This window comes from Homo sapiens, chromosome 8 (genome assembly GCF_000001405.40).
Source record: "Homo sapiens chromosome 8, GRCh38.p14 Primary Assembly".
In the NCBI taxonomy this organism is placed as follows: Eukaryota; Metazoa; Chordata; class Mammalia; order Primates; family Hominidae; genus Homo; species Homo sapiens.
Window position 1 is genome coordinate 138,355,200 of NC_000008.11, and position 19,225 is coordinate 138,374,424.

The following is a 19,225-nucleotide window of genomic DNA, read 5'->3' on the forward strand; positions in this document are numbered from 1 at the left end:
CCAGCCATCCCATTACTGGGTATACACCCAAAGGAATATAAATCATGCTGCTATAAAGACACATGCACACCTATGTTTACTGCGGCACTACTCACAACGGCAAAGACTTGGAACCAACCCAAATGTCCAACAATGATAGACTGGATTAAGAAAATGTGGCACATATACACCATGGAATACTATGAAGCCATAAAAAATGGTGAGTTCATGTCCTTTGTAGGGACATGGATGAAGCTGGAAACCATTATTCTCAGCAAACTATCACAAGGACAAAAAAATCATTCACTCTCTTTTAAGGAAGGAGAAAAAGGGGACCATGATCACTTCTGAGGACTCTATTTGGAGACTAAACTTTTATTATGGAAATGTGAGTGCAGTTGGTTAAGAAAGTATCTCTCACGCCTGTCAGTCATTGGCTGGAAGGATTCAGTTCTCAAAACCCACATTATCTTCTCGTTATTCAAGGAAGAGACCCTGGCAGGTGCCAAGCAGTGAGAAAGGGAAGTCTGAGTATAATTTCCTCCTGAGAGTACCGCTCTATAAATTCACTGTTTGCAGCAGTGCATAGCATTTAAGAAATAGGGGGAGAAAGACATCACAACATTTGAATGCCCTTGTGTGAGCCAAATAAAACAAAATATGCACTGTGGCACTATGGTAAGAATGTGTCCCCTCTAAACTGTATGTTGAAACCTAATGCCCTCCTAACGGTGTTAAGAGGTGAGGCCCTTTGGAATGTGATTAAGTAATTAGGGCTTTGTCCTCATGAGTGGATGAGTGACTTATAAAAGGCCTGGAGGGAACTAGCTTAAGCTTTTTCTCCCTTCCACTTTCCACCATGTGACAGGGCAGCATTTGCCCCTTCTATCATGTAAGGACACAGCACTAGGGCCCTCACCAGGCATCAAATGCTGGTATCTTGATCTTGGACTTTCCAGTCTCCAGAACTGTGAGAAAATAAGTGTATGCCATTTGCAAATTACCCAGTTTCAGGCATTTTGTTATAGCAGCACAAAAGGACTAAAATGGTGTGTTGAGGGGGGCATGGTAGAGACAGAAAGGGAAAGAGAGAGAGAGAGAGAGAAAGAGAGAGCCAGCGAGTGAGAGAAAACATAAGAGTATGTGAACGCTAGAGTCTAGGCATCCAAGAATGAATTCTTTCAAGTGGCCACTTGCAGAACGTTCAAAACCAGGGCAGATATTGAACCCATGTGAGCCTCTGCTTCCTCTATGATTTAGGGATAATACAATATTCCTTGTAGAATTGTGAGAATTACATGAGGTTATTTGTAATAACACAGAATTTCAAAATTTTTCTTCTCCAAAGAATTCTGGTTAACTCCATTGGGTTGAGACATAAAAGACAGTTTCACCCAATGATGGTGAAGTGATTTTTTCAAATAAAACACCAAATTTTACTTGGTCTGAGAACACAATGTATGATGGTGAAAGCAAAGATCTCCCTACTTTGAGGAAGGACATCAGAACAGCCTCCAATGGTGTCTTCCGTTTTTCCAAAAGTTTCTAAACAGTAACTCAGCTACCTGAGTGTCAATGGCTGGGGTCTGTGGAGCCACGGAAACCCTTACATCAGCTGAATGGAAGATTTGTAGACATTTTCTGTTTATGAAAACTCCTCTCACTTAAAAAGTGCAGATCCATTACCTAATACCATGAAGTTTCTTAATCTATGTTTAATTCTTCTAAGCTTTGTGAAATGTCTTTTGCAGAGGTTTTAGAAGGGGTGGAGCAGAAGAGATTTGGGAGTATATGAGGACAATTAAGTCAAAGATCATTTCCTCCCTCACCTTGTTCAATGATAGAAGAGTTTGATCAAAGAGAATATGAATCTTCATGAACATTAACCTGGACTACAAAGCAAGACAAGCAGCAAGATGTATTCATTTTTAGAGCATATTATTTATATTATCAATAGAGAATAGTTTCCTAAAGAAAAAAAGACAATTTTAAATAATGAAATTATGAAAATTTGTGCTACTGTTGCATAGCAACATGTTTTTCCCCCATTTATAAAATGCTCTTAAATGCATTATAATATTAAAACTAAAACTATAAAACAAGTGAAATGTCCAAAAATACAGCATTGGTTAAATAAATTATAATAGAATCACATGATGGAATTCTGTGTAGTTATTAATTATGTTGTAAAAATATGTAGGGTTATTGAAAATGTTTATAACTTGGAAAGTGAGAAAAACAGAGAGTAACTTATACACTACATTTTTGTGAAGGAAAATACATGTGAATATAAAATAGTTTGTGCCTAGTGAAAGAATATGATGACATTTTTCTTTGTACTTTTTCTTATTTCCACAGTATGCATATTTATGTAATCAGAACTATAAACATACACAGATACATATATGTGTGCAACTGAAAGTTTAAAATGAAGATATCTAAAGGAATACATTTAAAACTGCTTTTGAGCAATATCTGACAATTCATGGGAAAAAAAAACAAGAGCAGTGAAGGATCCCACTCTCTTTCTTATACCTCCTCTGGCCCAAGATCTACTCAAAAAACTTCTAGGAAAGAAACATTCTAGAGTTTAGTATATTTTATTGACTATATTTCCCTAGTGTCCCTACAGCTATCATTTCTTTAGAAACGTGGCATTTTCACTTTGTAGATCTCAGATGTAAAGTAAAAAAGAGAAAATGTGATTTATCCTATTGAAGCCGATAGGAATAAACATGGTGTCCGTTAGTATATTAACCCATTTTCATACTGCTATGAAGAAATACCCAAGACTGGGTAATTTAATGAACTCACAGCTCCACATGGCTGGCGAGGACTTACAATCATGGCAGAAGGTGAAAAAGGAGCAAAGGTACATCTTACCTGGCAGCAGGCAAGAGAGCATGTGTAGGGGAACTACCCTTTTTAAAATCATCAGCTCTCATGAAACTTATTCACTACCACGAGAAAAGCCCAAGAAAAATCTGCCCCCATGATTCAATTACCTCCCACCAGGTTCTTCCCACAACACATGGTGATTATGGGAGCTAAAATTCAAGATGGTATTTGGGTGGGGACACAGCCAAACCATATCAATTAAGTTTTTAAGTGGCAAGAAGACCCCTTCCTGAGGAATTAGCTGGAATAAGTATAAAGTACCTGCATAAAATGTAGAGAGGAACATACATTCAGAGCTTGACCAGATCGACAGTCTGTTCTAGCCCTGGCACTGACCAGCTGAGGATGTTTGGTTCAGAGTCTCAATTACAATCAATGGAGTAGTCCATAGAGGGCTTGGGTCCTCTTGGCTTGTACTGTAAAACCTGGGCCTCTATTTTACTAGGTGCTTTACAAATATCACCTCATGGACATTTAATAGATTCTGCAAAACAAATGAAGAAAGTGAGATTTAAAAATTTTAATAACTTGCCCATGGGTACCCTGCTAATAATAGAATAAATGAAATTAGAACCAGGATATGTGTCTCTTAAATGTCTCTGATTTTCTATTATCCTACCTTCATGGCCACATGACCTTTTACTCTACTTAAGAGACCTCAGTGAGAACCGTCAAGTACCTTTAGAGTACAGAGTTCTTTTACAGCACAAAACTAGAAAGGACCACACTTCCCAGTGGCATTCTGCTCTGCCTTTGATTCCACCAGGAAGTATCTGGGCCCTGTGGGTGGCTCTGAGCTCACCAGAGGCATTTTAAATCTCAGCAGGTCAATGTCCGGTCCCCTAGAAAGAGCTTTTCTTTATACACCTGCTGAGCCTGTCCTCAGCCAGGGGTTAAGAGGATAAAAGGCTCAAAGCAGCAGGCTCATGAAGTCACAGATTAAAAGGTAAATTGAGAAAAAAAAATAGGACAGGGCAATCATTAACAGGAATGTGGATTTGTCCAAAAAATAATCCAGAATGTTCATCTACATAAGCACTTGGGTAACTGAAGTCTATTCACTCATCATAGGAACAATGATAATAATGTCATTGTATGAAAGGGGGATGTAAAATTGTTATTAAAATAATATTTATGGAATTTTAGAGAAAAAAAGACTCAGAGATGAACAAGGCTACCTACCCCTTTGTGCTAGATGAAACACTGACTGTAAGTGATCAATATCCTACATCAAACTGGCTTTAACAAAAATAAAAGGAATGGATTGGCTTGAACAACTGAAAAGTCATGAGACTGGAATGATGCATTAAATCCACTGCTTCTGTGGTGTGTCCAAATCATACCCACCTACCATTCATCATGGTGGACACTCTACCTTCACAAATGCACCATTGTCAAAGCTGTCGTAATGTTAAACTTGAAGGTTCACCTGCATGCTGACTGCCCAGCTCTCTAACAGTTGTTTCTTAGTCAAGCAAAGCTGAACACTCAATGCAGCTCTCAAATATTTATAATTCCCACTCACTTTCAAAAGTGTGGGAATGAATGAAAAGGATCTCAACATATTTTAATAAGAGAAGTGGGGAAAAAAGATTGTTTCTGACAGAACCAGACAAATCAATTAATCACTGGCAAGCAAAGATAATTGTATTTCTGAGTCTATTAAGGCACATTAGGGCTAGTTAGCTAACTTCACAGGGGAGCTGGATGTCGCTGGGCATTAGGCAGTGATGGGACACATCAGGTAGAAACACAAGATGACATTGTCTTTCAGGAAGCACTTGACTTTCAACTCAACCATTTCCACTTTGGTAGAGAAAAGGCAGGTGAGTACGTTCAAAGGAGATTTCAATCCTAACATTTCTATGAGCCTTCACACTTTTACATCAGCTCTGATAATACTGATTATAGGTCCTTTTTGTGAGACTGTTCTGTGGATGAGAACAGAATTTCTCAGTAAAATCATCTAAAGCCACTGGGGAGAAAATCTCCTAAATGATATGTAAAGAAGGAGAGGAAGAAAGACAGGGGATGAATCTCAACATCAAACAATGAAAAATCTTACTCGGAAAGAAAATCAGTTTGATTTAGAGTTTTGTCTGAATTAATATTTAAAACCAAATTTGAATTCATTGTCAAGGACAAATGTTAGCTCCATTTCAGCTAACAATATTAGAAATGCAGGTTCATGCTCTTGTAAATAGATACAAATGAGTTATGGATATACTGATGATTAACAAATATCTATGTAATGAGTTTTATAATTAATTGTTCACTTAGAAAGTATTTCCTTGGGGGAAAAGTATTGCATATGAAAATAAGACCATTCCTCCTGCTTTCTCACCACTAGCACCAAGCTGGAAAGCTAACACAAAGTCTCTGGAATTTCCACAGCAGAAGAATGCATAAATGGAGTTAAGATCCAGTGTCCTATTGGGGAAGAGGAGGCTTCGCAATCTGGTTATGAAAGTAGAAGTCAGGGTCTCATTTTCTTTATAATAAAGAGGCTAGCAAAGAGAGGCTGAGATTACTTGGCCTGTGCAATCTTCACTTAGCCTTAATCCCATCATTTCCAACCTTGGAATTACCTCGGGAACTTTAGCAAGTGCTGACACCTCGGTCCCACTGTGAAGATTTTTTTTACTTAGTTGGTCTGGAGGATGAAAATTTCAGTTTTCCAGGAACTTCTAGTACATGATGAAGTTTGAGATTTTCACAGGAACTCTTTCAGCAGTGGTCTTCAACCAGAGTCACCCAGGGAACATATTAAAACACGGTCTCCTAAGCCCCTCAACCAGAGATGATTCTGACTCAGTAGGTCTGAGACCAGGGCCAAGAATTTCCATTTCTTCTTTTTTTTTTTTTTTCAGATGAAGTCTCACTCTGTTGCCCAGGCAGGAGTGCAGTGGCACAATCTCAGTTCACTGCAACCTCCACTTCCCTGGTTCAAGCAATTCCCCTGCCTCAGTCTCCCGAGTAGCTGGGATTATAGGTGCATGCCACCATGTCCAGCTAATTTTTTTGTATTTTTAGTAGAGACAGGGTTTCACCATGTTGGCCAGACTTGTCTCGAACTCCTGACCTCAGGCAATCCACCCTCCTCAGCCTCCCAAAGCTGGGATTACAGGTGTGAGCCACCTCGCCCAGCCAAGAATTTCCATTTCTAATGTGTTCCCAGCTGATGGGGATGCTGCTGGTCCGTGAGCCACCATTTGAGCAGCATTGATTTAAATAGAACGTTAGGAATTTGGAATCATCTTCTATTACTATCATTTAATGAAGATCCATGTGACTCATCTGTAATTGAATAAATTTTGAAAGAAGAAACAGGAAGTTCAATACAATGAAAGATAAGCTACAATTTTTCTCCCAGTACGCACTAGACCCTATGCTGGGCACTGGCAATGCAAAGTCAAATAAGATCAGATCTTTACTCTGAAGAAGCTCACATTGACAGAGAAGAAGGCAAAGCCACACTTTACATCTCTAACATTCCTTTTTTGCAGTTTCCTCTTCCGCAGTCTAGAAAGTCTGTGGCAGTTGACACTCACATCCCTACATCTCCAAGTCTAATAAAAAGTATGCTGCAATAAATAAATTCATAAATCCTCTCACCTCCGCCCACTCCCCCACTCTTACTCTTCACTTTAACCATGAGTTGTCATCTTTGGTCTTTCAGGTGGGCTCAGCATTCTGATATCCAGGTCCCTTGTCGGGCTGACCCACATCCATCCTTAAAGTGACAGCTCTGCTGTTATTTCACTCCGAGACATCTGTTCTGACTCTGCCTAGAGACTGCATTCCTCCTTCTCTGTTTCTTCATAGTATCCCCAGTCTGTCTCAGTGACAAGCATCTACCATGCATATGATGGCCATTTTCTTTTTTTCCTGATTTTAAATTTTAGTTTTAATTTTTGTGGGTACATAGTAGGTACAGATATTTATGGGGCACATAAGATGTTTTAATATAGGCATGCAACGCATAATAATCACCTCATGGAGAAGAGAGTATTCATCTCCTCAAGCGTATTTATCCTTTGTGTTATAAACAATCCAATCACCCTCTTTTAGCTATTTTTAAATGTATAATTATTATTGACTATAGTCACTCTGTTGTGCTATCAAATAGCAGGACTTATTCTTTCTAATTTCTTTTATACCCATTAACCAGCCCCACCTCCCTCTCACCATCCCCCACCCCCATATCTTTTTTTTTTTTTTTTTTTTTACCAAATACCATTACACAATTTGGTGATGGTAGGGACCATTCATCTGATCATCTCCTCAAGTAGTATTGTGCATGGACTATGGTGCACATGCGAGTCTTCACTGACAGCCATTGGTTGAGTGACCCTTTAATTTATGAGACTTTGGTCTGAATGACTTATAGCTGTTTCCACAACCTCAAGTCACCTTCTAAGATGTGAAGAAGATGTTGCAAGGTGGATAGCACATACTGCTTGAAGTCAGATGTTCTGACCTTCTCATTTGTCAGCTGTGTGTACTTGGGCAAAAAACTTAGCTTGAGGCCTTGGTTTCTTCATGCCACAGAAGTTATAGAGAGTCTTGGGGACGTTTCGAGGATAAATTGGATAATGTATAAATGGTATGACACATGGTACGATTACTTATTATTGTTATCTAATTGGGATACACATACCCTGTAAAAATAACTTCAAGATTTACTGAAATATTTGAACTGATGGTCATTTTCTATGTATATGTCAGCCTCTCTCATTAGCTGGTAAACACCTCAATGGCAGGGGCTCTATCTTTTCATCTTAGTGTTTCTAGAGCTGAAAGCAATACCATATGCCAACTAGTGTCCTTGGGAATGAGTAGATGACCAAATAAAGCATGTACAGATGTGCCTTAGGAATATGGAAAAGCTACGGATTCCAAAAATCTGGGGTGAACACAATAGCTAAATGTCAATATGCAGAAATGGTTGGGAGAGGAGGTTATACTGAGCTGGAACTTGTATAGCATAGAATTTTCAAGAGAGATGCTAGGGGGAAGAGGGCCAAGAATTGTCTGATGAGTGAGAGCAAAAAGAAACTGGGAGGGTTTTAAAGAGGGAAGCAAGGTGGTCATGACAACCTTTTTGGGTAGTAACTCCATTAATAGTGTTAATGACAGGTTAGAGACAAGGCTGTACTTGTAGTAGTGAAAATTTAGTTGGCATCTGCTAGATACAAAGTACCCTACTACCTTCTCTGCCTATATTAATTAATGCCGTAAACTTTCAGATTGCCCCACAAGACAGACTTTGTCACCACCATTTTACAGGCCATACAATGTTGGGTTGGGGGAAGTTTCCAAGTCCTCAGAGCTCAAAAATGGCAGACCATGGCTTCAAATTAAGGTCTGACCCCAAAGCCAGGTCCTCAGTACTTCCCTGCCCCTGACTTTTTGTCAGCATGAGTCTTACTGCTGAATGTGGGGGTGATATCGTATGATTCTTGATGACTGGTTTGAGGAAAAGTTTTCCCTTTGAGAATTTGTGTCAGTCCATATAGACTTTGGATGAAGGCATGTTGACTGTTCGCTCAAAGCCAACATCATTACAAGGCAGTGTGCATTCTCAGACTGGAACAAACACCCATGAATATAAATGTGGTAGAAGCAAGGAACTCCCTGATCAGGACAAATTATCAGGCAATATTCTTTCTTCTTTATCTTTATGCTTCCAACATAGCATCTTATAAAAACTGGAGGGGAGGTTTCTTTCTGGCCAGCTATGTAACAATGAGCTGCAACATTTGGATGGAGGAGATATTTCTCATAAACTATGTAAATGAGGTGGAACTTGGAAGACCACAGTCAGGCTCAGTCTGAGAAAGGGTACTCTCCCTCTCTTGCAATCCCCAACTCTAATTTTTACCATCCCAAAGACCTTGTAGAGCACACATTTAATCACACATCCTCGCACCCCAAAAAGGAACCAACTTCCCCAAAATCTACATTTCTTCTCCTTACTAATGTCAGAAGACCATTTGCTTTTCTTCAGAAGCTACCCTGGGGCCCCACCTTGCACACCAGGCTTGGATTGTAGCCATGCCCTCTCCATGGAACACTTGCTGGATAAAGTAATTACACTTCATTTTAAGCATAGCTCCTGTGGGACTCAGAGGAGAAAAATACTTAGCACTTGAGCATCAGGGATCATGCCTGTCAGGAACACCCCCGGCAAATGCAGAATCCTGGTTGGCATCATGCCCAGTCTGTCCACAGCTGCCCAAAGGCAGGATCTAGGAGGCTGGTGGTTAACAAGTGCAAGGTTTTGTTGCTGATGAGACCGTAGAGATGTGAGACATCATTACAAAACAGTGTGCATCCACCTGAGAGGTCTAATTCACTTCACCAAAACCACGCTCAGACCTGTCCATAGAAGTAACTGCAATCAAGTGACCCTCAAGCATATGTAGTCATAAGATTATGCCCTCATCCACATCTGAAGTATGTGCCTAAATACGCACCTTCCTTAAAACCGTGAAATGCTAGCCTTAAGAGCTAGAAGCTTGTAAGAATATTCCTAATCTTCTGGGCGAGTGGTCTCCAACTATTAATGATTTGCATGCTTATCTGTAAAACCATTCTTGAGTATAAAACCCCAATATATGTATATTTATTTATAAATACTATACATGTACAATTATCCTCATATATAATATGCATTACAAATATAGAAAAAGGTTTTTTAAAGAGAGAGAAGGATATAATAATCCATGTTTTAAAAATAGATATTTTATATATTAATAGATCACATAACATTTTGGGTTTTTTTCTGAGATGGAGTCTCGCTGTGTCACCCAGGCTAGAGTGCAGTAGCACAATCTCAGCTCACTACAACCTCCACCTCCTGGTTCAAGCAGTTCTCCTGCCTAGGCCTCCCAAGTAGCTGAAATTACAAGTGCCCGCCACCACTCTCAGGTGATTTTTGAATTTTTGGTAGAGATGGACTTTCACCATGTTGGCCAGGCTCGTCTCAAACTCCCAAACTCAAGTGATCCACCTGTCTCAGCCTCCCAAAGTGCTGGGATTACAGGCGTGAGTCACCATGCCTGGCTGATCACGTAGCATTTTTGTTCTCCCAAAAAACATTAGAGTGGTTCCAAGTTCTGGTTTTAGTTTATCCTAATTCAATATGAGACTTTAGTGGTGAGCATGGATAAACGAGATGCTTCCCAAAAACATACTGATCTAGAAAAAAGGGAAGAGTATCCTAGGCTTGCTGAATAGGTGATGATTTTTATCCTCATTTTTCAAGCTTTTTAACAACTCAACAAGGGTCTATTGGATGTGTTATTTTGAAATATTTTGTTAACGGTGATTATTTTGTGTAAGACTGTCAATATCTCAAGGCCCAATATCCATTTAGAATAAGGTGCATTGTAAGTATTTATGCTTACAAGTCTATATATCAAATAGTTTTTAAAATATAACTAAATCACTCTCTACTTATTGTTAGATAGATTAGCTTATCATCTTTAATTTTTACTGTGTGTATCAATAGGCTTTTGTAAGAAGTAGGATAAATGTGGTTGGTTCTGGCATTTCCTGGTATTTAGTATGCTTCCATTATTAATATTATCTTCAATTCATGATTCATCATGGTATTAGACATTTTTCTATTTGTCTTTTCCTAACTCTTCATAACCAACGATATGAGGCTTAGTGAAGTTAAAACTAGAAATCAATTTAGAGCTGTATGTAACTGGCCAGTTGCACACTGCAGTATTTTGCAATGTCAGTCTGTGTTACAAACTCCCTCTTTGCTCTTGAGACCTAAGTTACTGAACGGGATTCTGCCATACAGAAACAGCAAGGTCCTCCACATCAATCTGGATTCTAATTATTAGTGAAGCTTGATTTCCATTTTTTTTTTCTTTTTCACCAAAGCAATTGTAAATAGACGTTCTAATACTTTCTTTCCACATCCTGATGGCTGTCTTGTGCACCCTGGGGAGAATGCAGCCCACTTTGCACCTTAAATAATAAAATAATATAAAATAATACATGATTTTGAATGAGAGAAACTTAGCTTCAGCTCCTCACTCTGCTATGTTAGAGCTATGTACTGTTCTACTTCCCTAATCCCAAGTTATCTATCTGGTAAATGAAGATAATACTGCTTAGTTCTACGGTTTGTTATGAAAAGTCAGGAAAAGACAAACAAGAAAAATGTCTAATACCATGATGGAAACCTGACATTATCAAAATCGCTTGCTTTTCTTGTAAACGTGAACCTGAAAAGCAGAGTGGAGTGGTGCCAAAGGAGCTCCTGAAGCAGTAGCACAGCCTGGACTCAGGAGTACTGGCCCCAAGCCCAGGGCTCCTATCAATATACAATGTGACTTCTGATCAAATGAGAGGTGGACCAATGGCAAGAGGACTTCCAGAAGGATGCACAGACCTTTGCCTCATTAAAGCTCAGCCTCTGTGAATGCTGCCCAAAACCCCTCCTCATATGCCTCCTTCCCTGAAACAGAAAGCTGATCTCAGAACCATTTCCCATTCTTCTCACTGCCTGGAGTTCAGGTCACCTGCCAAAACCACTCAGCCTCACTGAATTTCATCCTTAAGTAAGTAGGGGCCATAGCACACAAGAGGCACTTGAAGCATTAAACTCAGGGTTGTCTTTTCACAACTGGAGTCTAATCTTGGAGGTAGATTATTAAAATGTACATTGAGTCTTAGTCTTCTATCTAGAGATGGTATCTATTTCTTCATTTTAAAGCTGGACTGGCCTTGTGACTTGCTTTGGTCAGTGGAATGTATTAGAAAAACAACTTTATGCAAATTCCAAGACTGAACAACAGGAGATTTTGTGTATTTCCCCTCTTGATAGCCCAAGCCTGCTGGAGGATGAGAGGCCACAAGGAGAACCACAACAGCCCAGCTGGGAGCCCCAGACCTGTGAGCGAGCCCAGTGAGATCATCCAAGCCACATCTAACTCAGTAGAACCGCCCAGCTGAGCCCAGTCCAAACTGCTTACTCATGAGCTAAACTAAGTTGTTGTTTTTAAGCCATTAAGTTTTAGAAAAGTTCGTTATGCAACAAAAGCAAATGGATAGATACCCCTTGTTTTCTGTACTAATTTGCGCTGTTAATTGGACACTTAATTCAATTTCTATTAACTTTGCTTTTTGTGTGTCAGTAACATGTCAAAAGTAGTAGCAATCATCATGAAGACATGTAGTTCACATCTGTGTTTGGTTTCTTATATAACCATTTCACATCTTGATTACTTACAATGAGCCTTGGAGGTAAGTCTATCATGAGGATTTACTGATATCACCTGCACGTGAAATGCCAAATTCAGACTGCATCCTCAAAAAGATGAAAGCATTATACTTCAGTTATATGAATTGATGTTTGCAAATACCAACCTTATCAGTTTTTGAAAGATCTAGGCACAAGTGTTACAATACGTGGTTTTGAAGTAATGGCCTGCATCAGCATCAGTATTGAACACACTGACTCCTTTTTACCACAGCTACACAGGCAAGCTTCATTTTCCATCAATTCACTTCCCGTTAAAATTGACATATGTATTAGAAAGAGCCACCAAGAAGAGAGTAGGTAGAAGGGAGTGCAGGGGGAGGAGATGAATTAGCACTTTCTAGTCTCTGTCAATATGTGGTTTATTTTCAGATGCAATAAAGGTTTGGATTTTTGACTTGGCAAGAAAACACAATGAAAATCTTTTCTTCGTTAGTCCCAAATTTCCTATAATCTGACTTCCCCACCTCCACCTTCTTCCACGGAAAGAAACAAACAACACACACACACACACACACACACACAAATTGTAAAGCATACTTACCCTCTCTGAAAGAGATCCACATTATAAAATTTATGTAGCTCTACCGAAAACTCAACCGTTCCTTGTATTTCAGACATGATCTTTTTGGCTCATTACCTGAAAAACAAGAGAGAAATTAACAGTTTGAGATCACATCAGCCACTCAGAAAGAACCTGGCTTTTACAACAGGAAACCAATCTGACCAACAGGACCAACAGGAGTAGCGTGTGTCCACTGAACGTCACCACTCAGGGTTCCTTTTATGGAAAAAGACACAGAGAGACAAAATGACTTGCCTACTGTCACAGCTTCTACCTGGAAGGGCCAGGAGTTAGACCCAGGTGTCCTAACTCCAAAGCTGAGCTGGTCCCCTGCCCTTTCCTATCTGTCAGTACCATGGAGACAACAACATCCCGGCCGAGAGCACATCCTTCATGGCCAAAGGCACAAGAATCCTTGCTCTACCGCTTTCCAGCTGTGTGACCTTGAGCAAGTCACTTAACTTCTCCCATCTTCAGTGTTCTCATCTGTAACGTGAGGACTGGTAATAGCACATAACATTGATAAATGGTGGAAAGAGAGAATAAATATGCCACATTGAGCACTCTGCACGGTCATTTGTGTAGTAAATACTGAATAAGTTTTTGCTACCATTGTTAATAATAATTTAAAATGATTTTATCATTGATATTATAAATGCAGTCTCTAAAGACTGAAGATGGCTGGAGCAATATCAAGCGTGGCACATAGAGCATGTGGGTGCTGCTGCCAGGTAGATGTTTAACCCAACTTGACAGGTTGCTAATTTTCCAATTAGCTGTTACTGGGGGTCAGTAACAAGATGGTTGAATGGAAAAGATGGGAGGAAAAAAACATTAAAACAGTCCAAGTCTAGGATGAGAAATAAACCGAGAGGTACATTTAAAGCAGGTTGGGTTTTCTGAGAATATGAAAGCATCTAGATACCAGGAATGTGATGAAAGGGAAAGAAGCTTAGTTGTATTGGGCACCTACTATATTCTTGGTGTTGCATAAAGTATTCCATGTAAGTTGCCTGATTTTTTCCAACAAGAATTTTGTATTATTCTTGCCCCATTTTGCATGCAAGAAAAAAGGACCAGAGAAGCTCTGACCTGGAGCCACTTTCTAACTCTGGAATGTGCTGGTGGTGTGGCCTTTGGTAAGATCCTCCCATTCTCCAAGCCTGTTTACTACCACAAACAACAGGGATAATGCAAGATACTGAGTAGACTCCCGATAGGATAAGAGGTAATGACTTGCAATATACCTGGCACCTAGCAGGATCTCAAGACCTGGTATGACCTCTGGGAAGGGAGAGAATGAGAGAGAAGGAGGAGAGGGGAAAGGAAGGGAACACATGGCTCTGTCACCTGGCAACTGGTGATTCACACTTGGGTCTCCTTCCAAAGCCCCTCTTACTGCCCCCAGATGCCTCAGGGACCAGACCATTCTTGTGGTTCAGAGTGCAACCTCACTGCAGTTAACAGGGTCAGGCTAGGCCAGATCCCACAGATAACAGCAGGAGGATTAACTGGGCCTTAACTGCATCTCAGCTCAGGCAAATGTTTCATCCGGGAAATATTTCTAGAGATTCAGAAGGCTGCATACCAAATTAAAATCCTCAGAACCAACCTCTATAAATTCTGCAAGACAGAATTTCAATCTGGCAAACATGGAAAGGCCTGGCTCACAAAATGTGCCAAAAACCCATTTCCCAATGAAGAGCCATGGAGGTGCACCCTGGCCCTGCCCAACACACCCGAGCCAGTCAAGGTCAGAACCCGAGGCTCAATTTTAATCCCAAGTCATTTCCAATCAAAGCCGGATGGAGGGGCAAGCAAATGGAAGCCACCCTGTGCTTCCCTTCATAATCACATTAAACATCAACAGCTGCATTGTCCTCATTTTCTCATCACCCCACTCAGTCTGAATCCTGCAAAAACTCAGAGCTGGTAAAACCATGTGACTCCTTTCTTGGGGTTGTCGGCTTTCCATTATCCCCAGTTCCCCTCCTGATCTCTGATCCTGGGGAGGAGAATATCTAGAAAGAGAGACAAAGGGAGAGCAGGAACAATGCACCCCAAGAGTGCCAGCCTACCATCTACTACACACTGATGGGGGTTCCATGCATGACTTCACACAATCCTCAAAAGCCCTCTGCATGAGTAGTATTGGCCCCGAGCCACACAGACAGTGGTGCTGTTCAGGCAAAGAGTGCCTATCCAGGAGCCTGGGTTTTCCATCTCCTGCACTTACTGGCAGAATGGCTGGGACCATGTTTTGGGGTAGAGTTAATATTTAGAAGACAATATTTAACGCATGGAGAATACCACACAGAACATTCTTTTCTCCTTGAAAGATGCACCATACCATGCTGTTGTTCAGGATGAATGGGATAGAGTTTTGGAACTTGTAAACACAGACACAGCTTCTTGGTGGGAAATTGCCTTTTCCTTTAAAATAGCATGTTAGGCATTATAACCAAACACCCATAATGCAGTGAGGAAGATGAGTTCCCATGTAAAATAATTTTGGTTTTTGTTTGTTTGTTTGTTTGTTTTTGAGATGGAGTCTCGCACTGTCACCCAGGCTGGAGTGCAGTGGCTCCATCTCGGCTCACTGCAAGCTCGCCTCCCCAGTTCCCACCATTCTCCTGCCTCAGCCTCCCGAGTAGCTGGGACTACAGGCACCCACCACCACGCCTGGCTAATTTTTCGTATTTTTAGTAGAGACGGGGCTTCACTGTGTTAGCCAGGATGGTCTCGATCTCCTGACCTCGTGATCTGCCCACCTCGGCCTCCCAAAGTGCTGGGATTACAGGCATGAACCACCATGCTCTGCCCCATGTAAAATACTTTTAAAACTCTGTGTTGATTTTGCTGGTAACATCCTTGGTCCACTTTGTGGTCAGAAATCTAGAGCCATTTGTCTTGGTCCCAACCTTCTCCCCTTCTCTTTCCATCTGAAGATTAGTGGGAAGCTATCAGAGCAGTGGTTTTCAGGTGTGGTCCTCAGACCAGTGGCATCAGCAACACTGTGTTATGAAAACCAAGTCTTGAGTCCCACACCAGACCTACTCAGTCAGAAACTCCACAGGTGAGTTTCAGGGATCTGTGTTTTCACAAGTTCCCCAGGGAATTTAGGTGCAAACACTAATTTGAGAACCACTGGCCTAAAGACAAGGGTTTTAGCATTAACCAGACCTGAGTTAACTTGGTTTCTTGTGAGCTGCATGACCTTGGATCCATTCCTTAACTTCTCTGTCCCTCATTGCTAAGAGGTGAAGAGCAAGAGTACCTACCCTATAAAAGTGTCTTCATGATCAGTAGGGAGACAGCATTCAAAGTGTTTAATATAGTGTCTGGCATATTGTTGGAACATACTTATGACATATGCAAACAATAGACCCATGACACATACCTAACACACACATCACACTCATACACACAAACACACAGATACATACAATATGCATTGATAAAACACACACACACAAATCTTCATCACACACACAAGATGCCCATGACACATACCCAGCACACACTGGGTGCTGAAAAGACTGTCCAGGAAAGTCCGTTCTCTGCCTCTGTAGGACTGAGTTCAGGTGCAAGTTTCTGAGAATGTATCGTGATGAGTGCAGTGAGAAGTGTCAGCATACATCATGCTCAGGAAGAGGGCAGGACATGATTCAGATCTCCATCTCCAGCACATCAGCAACCACACCTTGGGTAGACCAATTTTCCCCAGTATTTGTTCCAAGAACCTCCCACGAAACATCAGAAAAACCAGCACTCACCCCCAACATGAGCATGTACCATACACACAATATACCCAACCCGAAATACACCGGCACCATGTGCACACACACCACAGACATCTTCTCTGCACTAACTTCCTACTACAACCAGTGCCACCCACCATTCTAGTGAATTCAGTCATTCTGCTGCATTTGGTGTGCCTCTGAAAAGCTCACCTTCAAACCTGTACTTCCTGAAAGCTGTGTGTCCAGGCACTCTGGCACTCTAAAGCACATGATGCTTACGAGCAGACCTTGCCCTCATGATGCTCAGGGACTGGGAAAGGGTGATCCAGTGACAATCACAATGACAGTGATGACGGCTCAGGAAGAGGGGGGACCTGGGTCTTTGGCACTCAGGTACGGCCTCCCTGGGAAGGCTGGCTTCTGAATGAGGAGGCCTTTGCCATGCCTCAGTCTAGGGTCATCAGTGCAGATCTGTTCTGTTCAGAAAGTGAAGAGAGTAACCACAGCAGGTCATCTCAACCTCAGCTCACCTGAAGTCGGCACACCTGCCCTTGGTACTGCCCTTCACTGTGTAACCTCCCTGGAACCCTAGTTACTGCCTGGTCCTCACTCAGGCAGCAACACCCACAGCTTACACCTGCGTACAGACAGTTTGCCCCTGGTGCACCACATTTTAGGCAAACATGCCTAGAGAAGAGGATGGAGGGAGGGGCAGGATGGGAAGGCCCCTGAAGCCTATGTCTAGAGATTAACACAGGCATCATCAGATTAGCCTTCCTTGTGGACACTGGAGAGAACAGCCTATCTCTAAAGCAATATACATACAGGCTCCAGAACCAGACGCCTGGGTCTCAATGGCCCTGGGTGACCTTGGAGTCATTATTATCTTCCTGGGCCTCATTTTCCTTGTTTGTAAAGTGAGGACAATAATAATACCTACTTCCTGGAGTACTGCAATAATTAAAACTATTAACATACATAAGGCACTCAGAATAGAGACTGGCATGTAATAACCTTTCAATACGCGCAGACTATGTTTAGCTTTGTTACAGAAGACATAACTAGGAGACAGGGTAAAAGAAAATGCAGTGAAATTACAGCCTTGTTTGGTTTTCACTCACTAAAAAAAAAATCTTGATCAAGTGCCCCTTACTGACCTGCCCTGTGCTGGGAGCTTTCTAGCCATCCCAGCTGCCCAACAATGGACCAGTCCACGTTATGAAGCAATGAACTCCCCCCATCACTGGGAGTATGCAGACAAAGGATGAGGTCCCACTTTTCTGGCATTTAAACCCTGCCTTGAGTTTAAATGACAATTAAATTCCCCTTGTCCACAAGGTTCTAAGATCCCATTACCTTCGGGCAGGCAATGTTTGTATTTGATTGATGAGGAAAAAAAGAGGCAGAGGTTAGGCTAGAGGACCAGAAGGTGATGTCACAAAACCTCAGTTCAGATTTGATTTCTGCCACTTAATAGGTTGACTAGGACATCACTTCATCTCTTTGAGTCCATGTTGTGGGAAGTCAGGGACCCCAAATGGAGGGACCGGCTGAAGCCATGGCAGAAGAAAGTGGATTGTGAAGATTTCATGGACATTTATTAGTTCCCCAAATTAATACTTTTATAATTTCTTATGCCTGTCTTTACTGCAATCTCTAAACATAAATTGTGAAGATTTCATGGACACTTATCACTTCCCCAATCAATACCCCTGTGATTTCCTATGCCTGTCTTTACTTTAATCTCTTAATCCTGTCATCTCGTAAGCCGAGGAGGATGTATGTCGCCTCAGGACCCTGTGATAATTGCGTTAACTGCACAAATTGTAGAGCATATGTGTTTGAACAATATGAAATCTGGGCTCCTTGAAAAAAGAACAGAATAACAGCAATGTTCAGGGAATAAGAGAGATAACCTTAAACTCTGACCACTGGTGAGCTGGGCGGAACAGAGCCATATTTCTCTTCTTTCAAAAGCAAATGGGAGAAATATTGCTGAATTCTTTTTCTCAGCAAGGAACATCCCTGAGAAAGAGAATGTGCCCCTGAGGGTGAGTCTCTAAAATGGCCCCCTTGGGTGTGGCCGTCTTCTATGGTCGAGACTGTATGTAGGGACGAAATAAGCCCCAGTCTCCCGTAGCGCTCCCAGGCTTATTAGGAAGAGGAAATTCTCACCTAATAAATTTTGGTCAGACCGGTTGCTCTCAAACCCTGTCTCCTGATAAGATGTTATCAAATGACAATGGTGCCTGAAACTTCATTAGCAATTTTAATTTCACCCCTGTCCTGTGGTCCTGTGATCTCGCCCTGCCTCCATTTGCCTTGTGATATTCTATTACCTTGTGAAGCATGTGATCTTTGTGACACACACCCTATTCGTACACTCCCTCCCCTTTAAAAAAAATCCCTAATAAAAACTTACTGGTTTTGCGTCTTGCAGGGCATCACACAACCTATTGACATGTGATGTCTCCCTCGGACGCCCAGCTTTAAAATTTCTCTCTTTTGTACTCTGTCCCTTTATTTCTCAACCCAGCTGATGCTTAGGGAAAATAGAAAAGAACCTACGTGACTCTTGGGGCAGGTTCCCCAGTAAGTCCAGGCTTCTGCATCTGTACTTGGAGGGAAACACCTACCTCAGAGGATGATACAGAATGGTAACTAATTAAACTGACTTTTGTAGAGTATTAAAAATGTTCTCATTGTCAATAGGATATTGTTAAAGTACAGAAAAATATTTTGGAAACATAGCAT

General features: G+C 41.3%; 1 protein-coding gene across 14 annotated transcripts in view; it reads right to left on the reverse strand.

Annotated features, from left to right (window-relative positions):
• Positions 1–19,225, reverse strand: part of FAM135B (family with sequence similarity 135 member B) — a 367,708-nt gene that overhangs the window by 225,177 nt on the left and 123,306 nt on the right. For 13 of the 14 annotated variants that reach the window (NM_001362965.2, NM_015912.4, XM_011517062.2 and 10 more), the window contains one exon: positions 12,708–12,803. In NM_001362965.2, coding sequence (NP_001349894.1) covers positions 12,708–12,784 — 77 coding nt within the window. In that variant the 5' untranslated portion in view covers positions 12,785–12,803. Of the gene's footprint in view, positions 1–3,138; positions 3,362–12,707; positions 12,804–19,225 lie in introns of those variants that run through there. The other variant, XM_011517065.2, reaches the window with a different exon arrangement.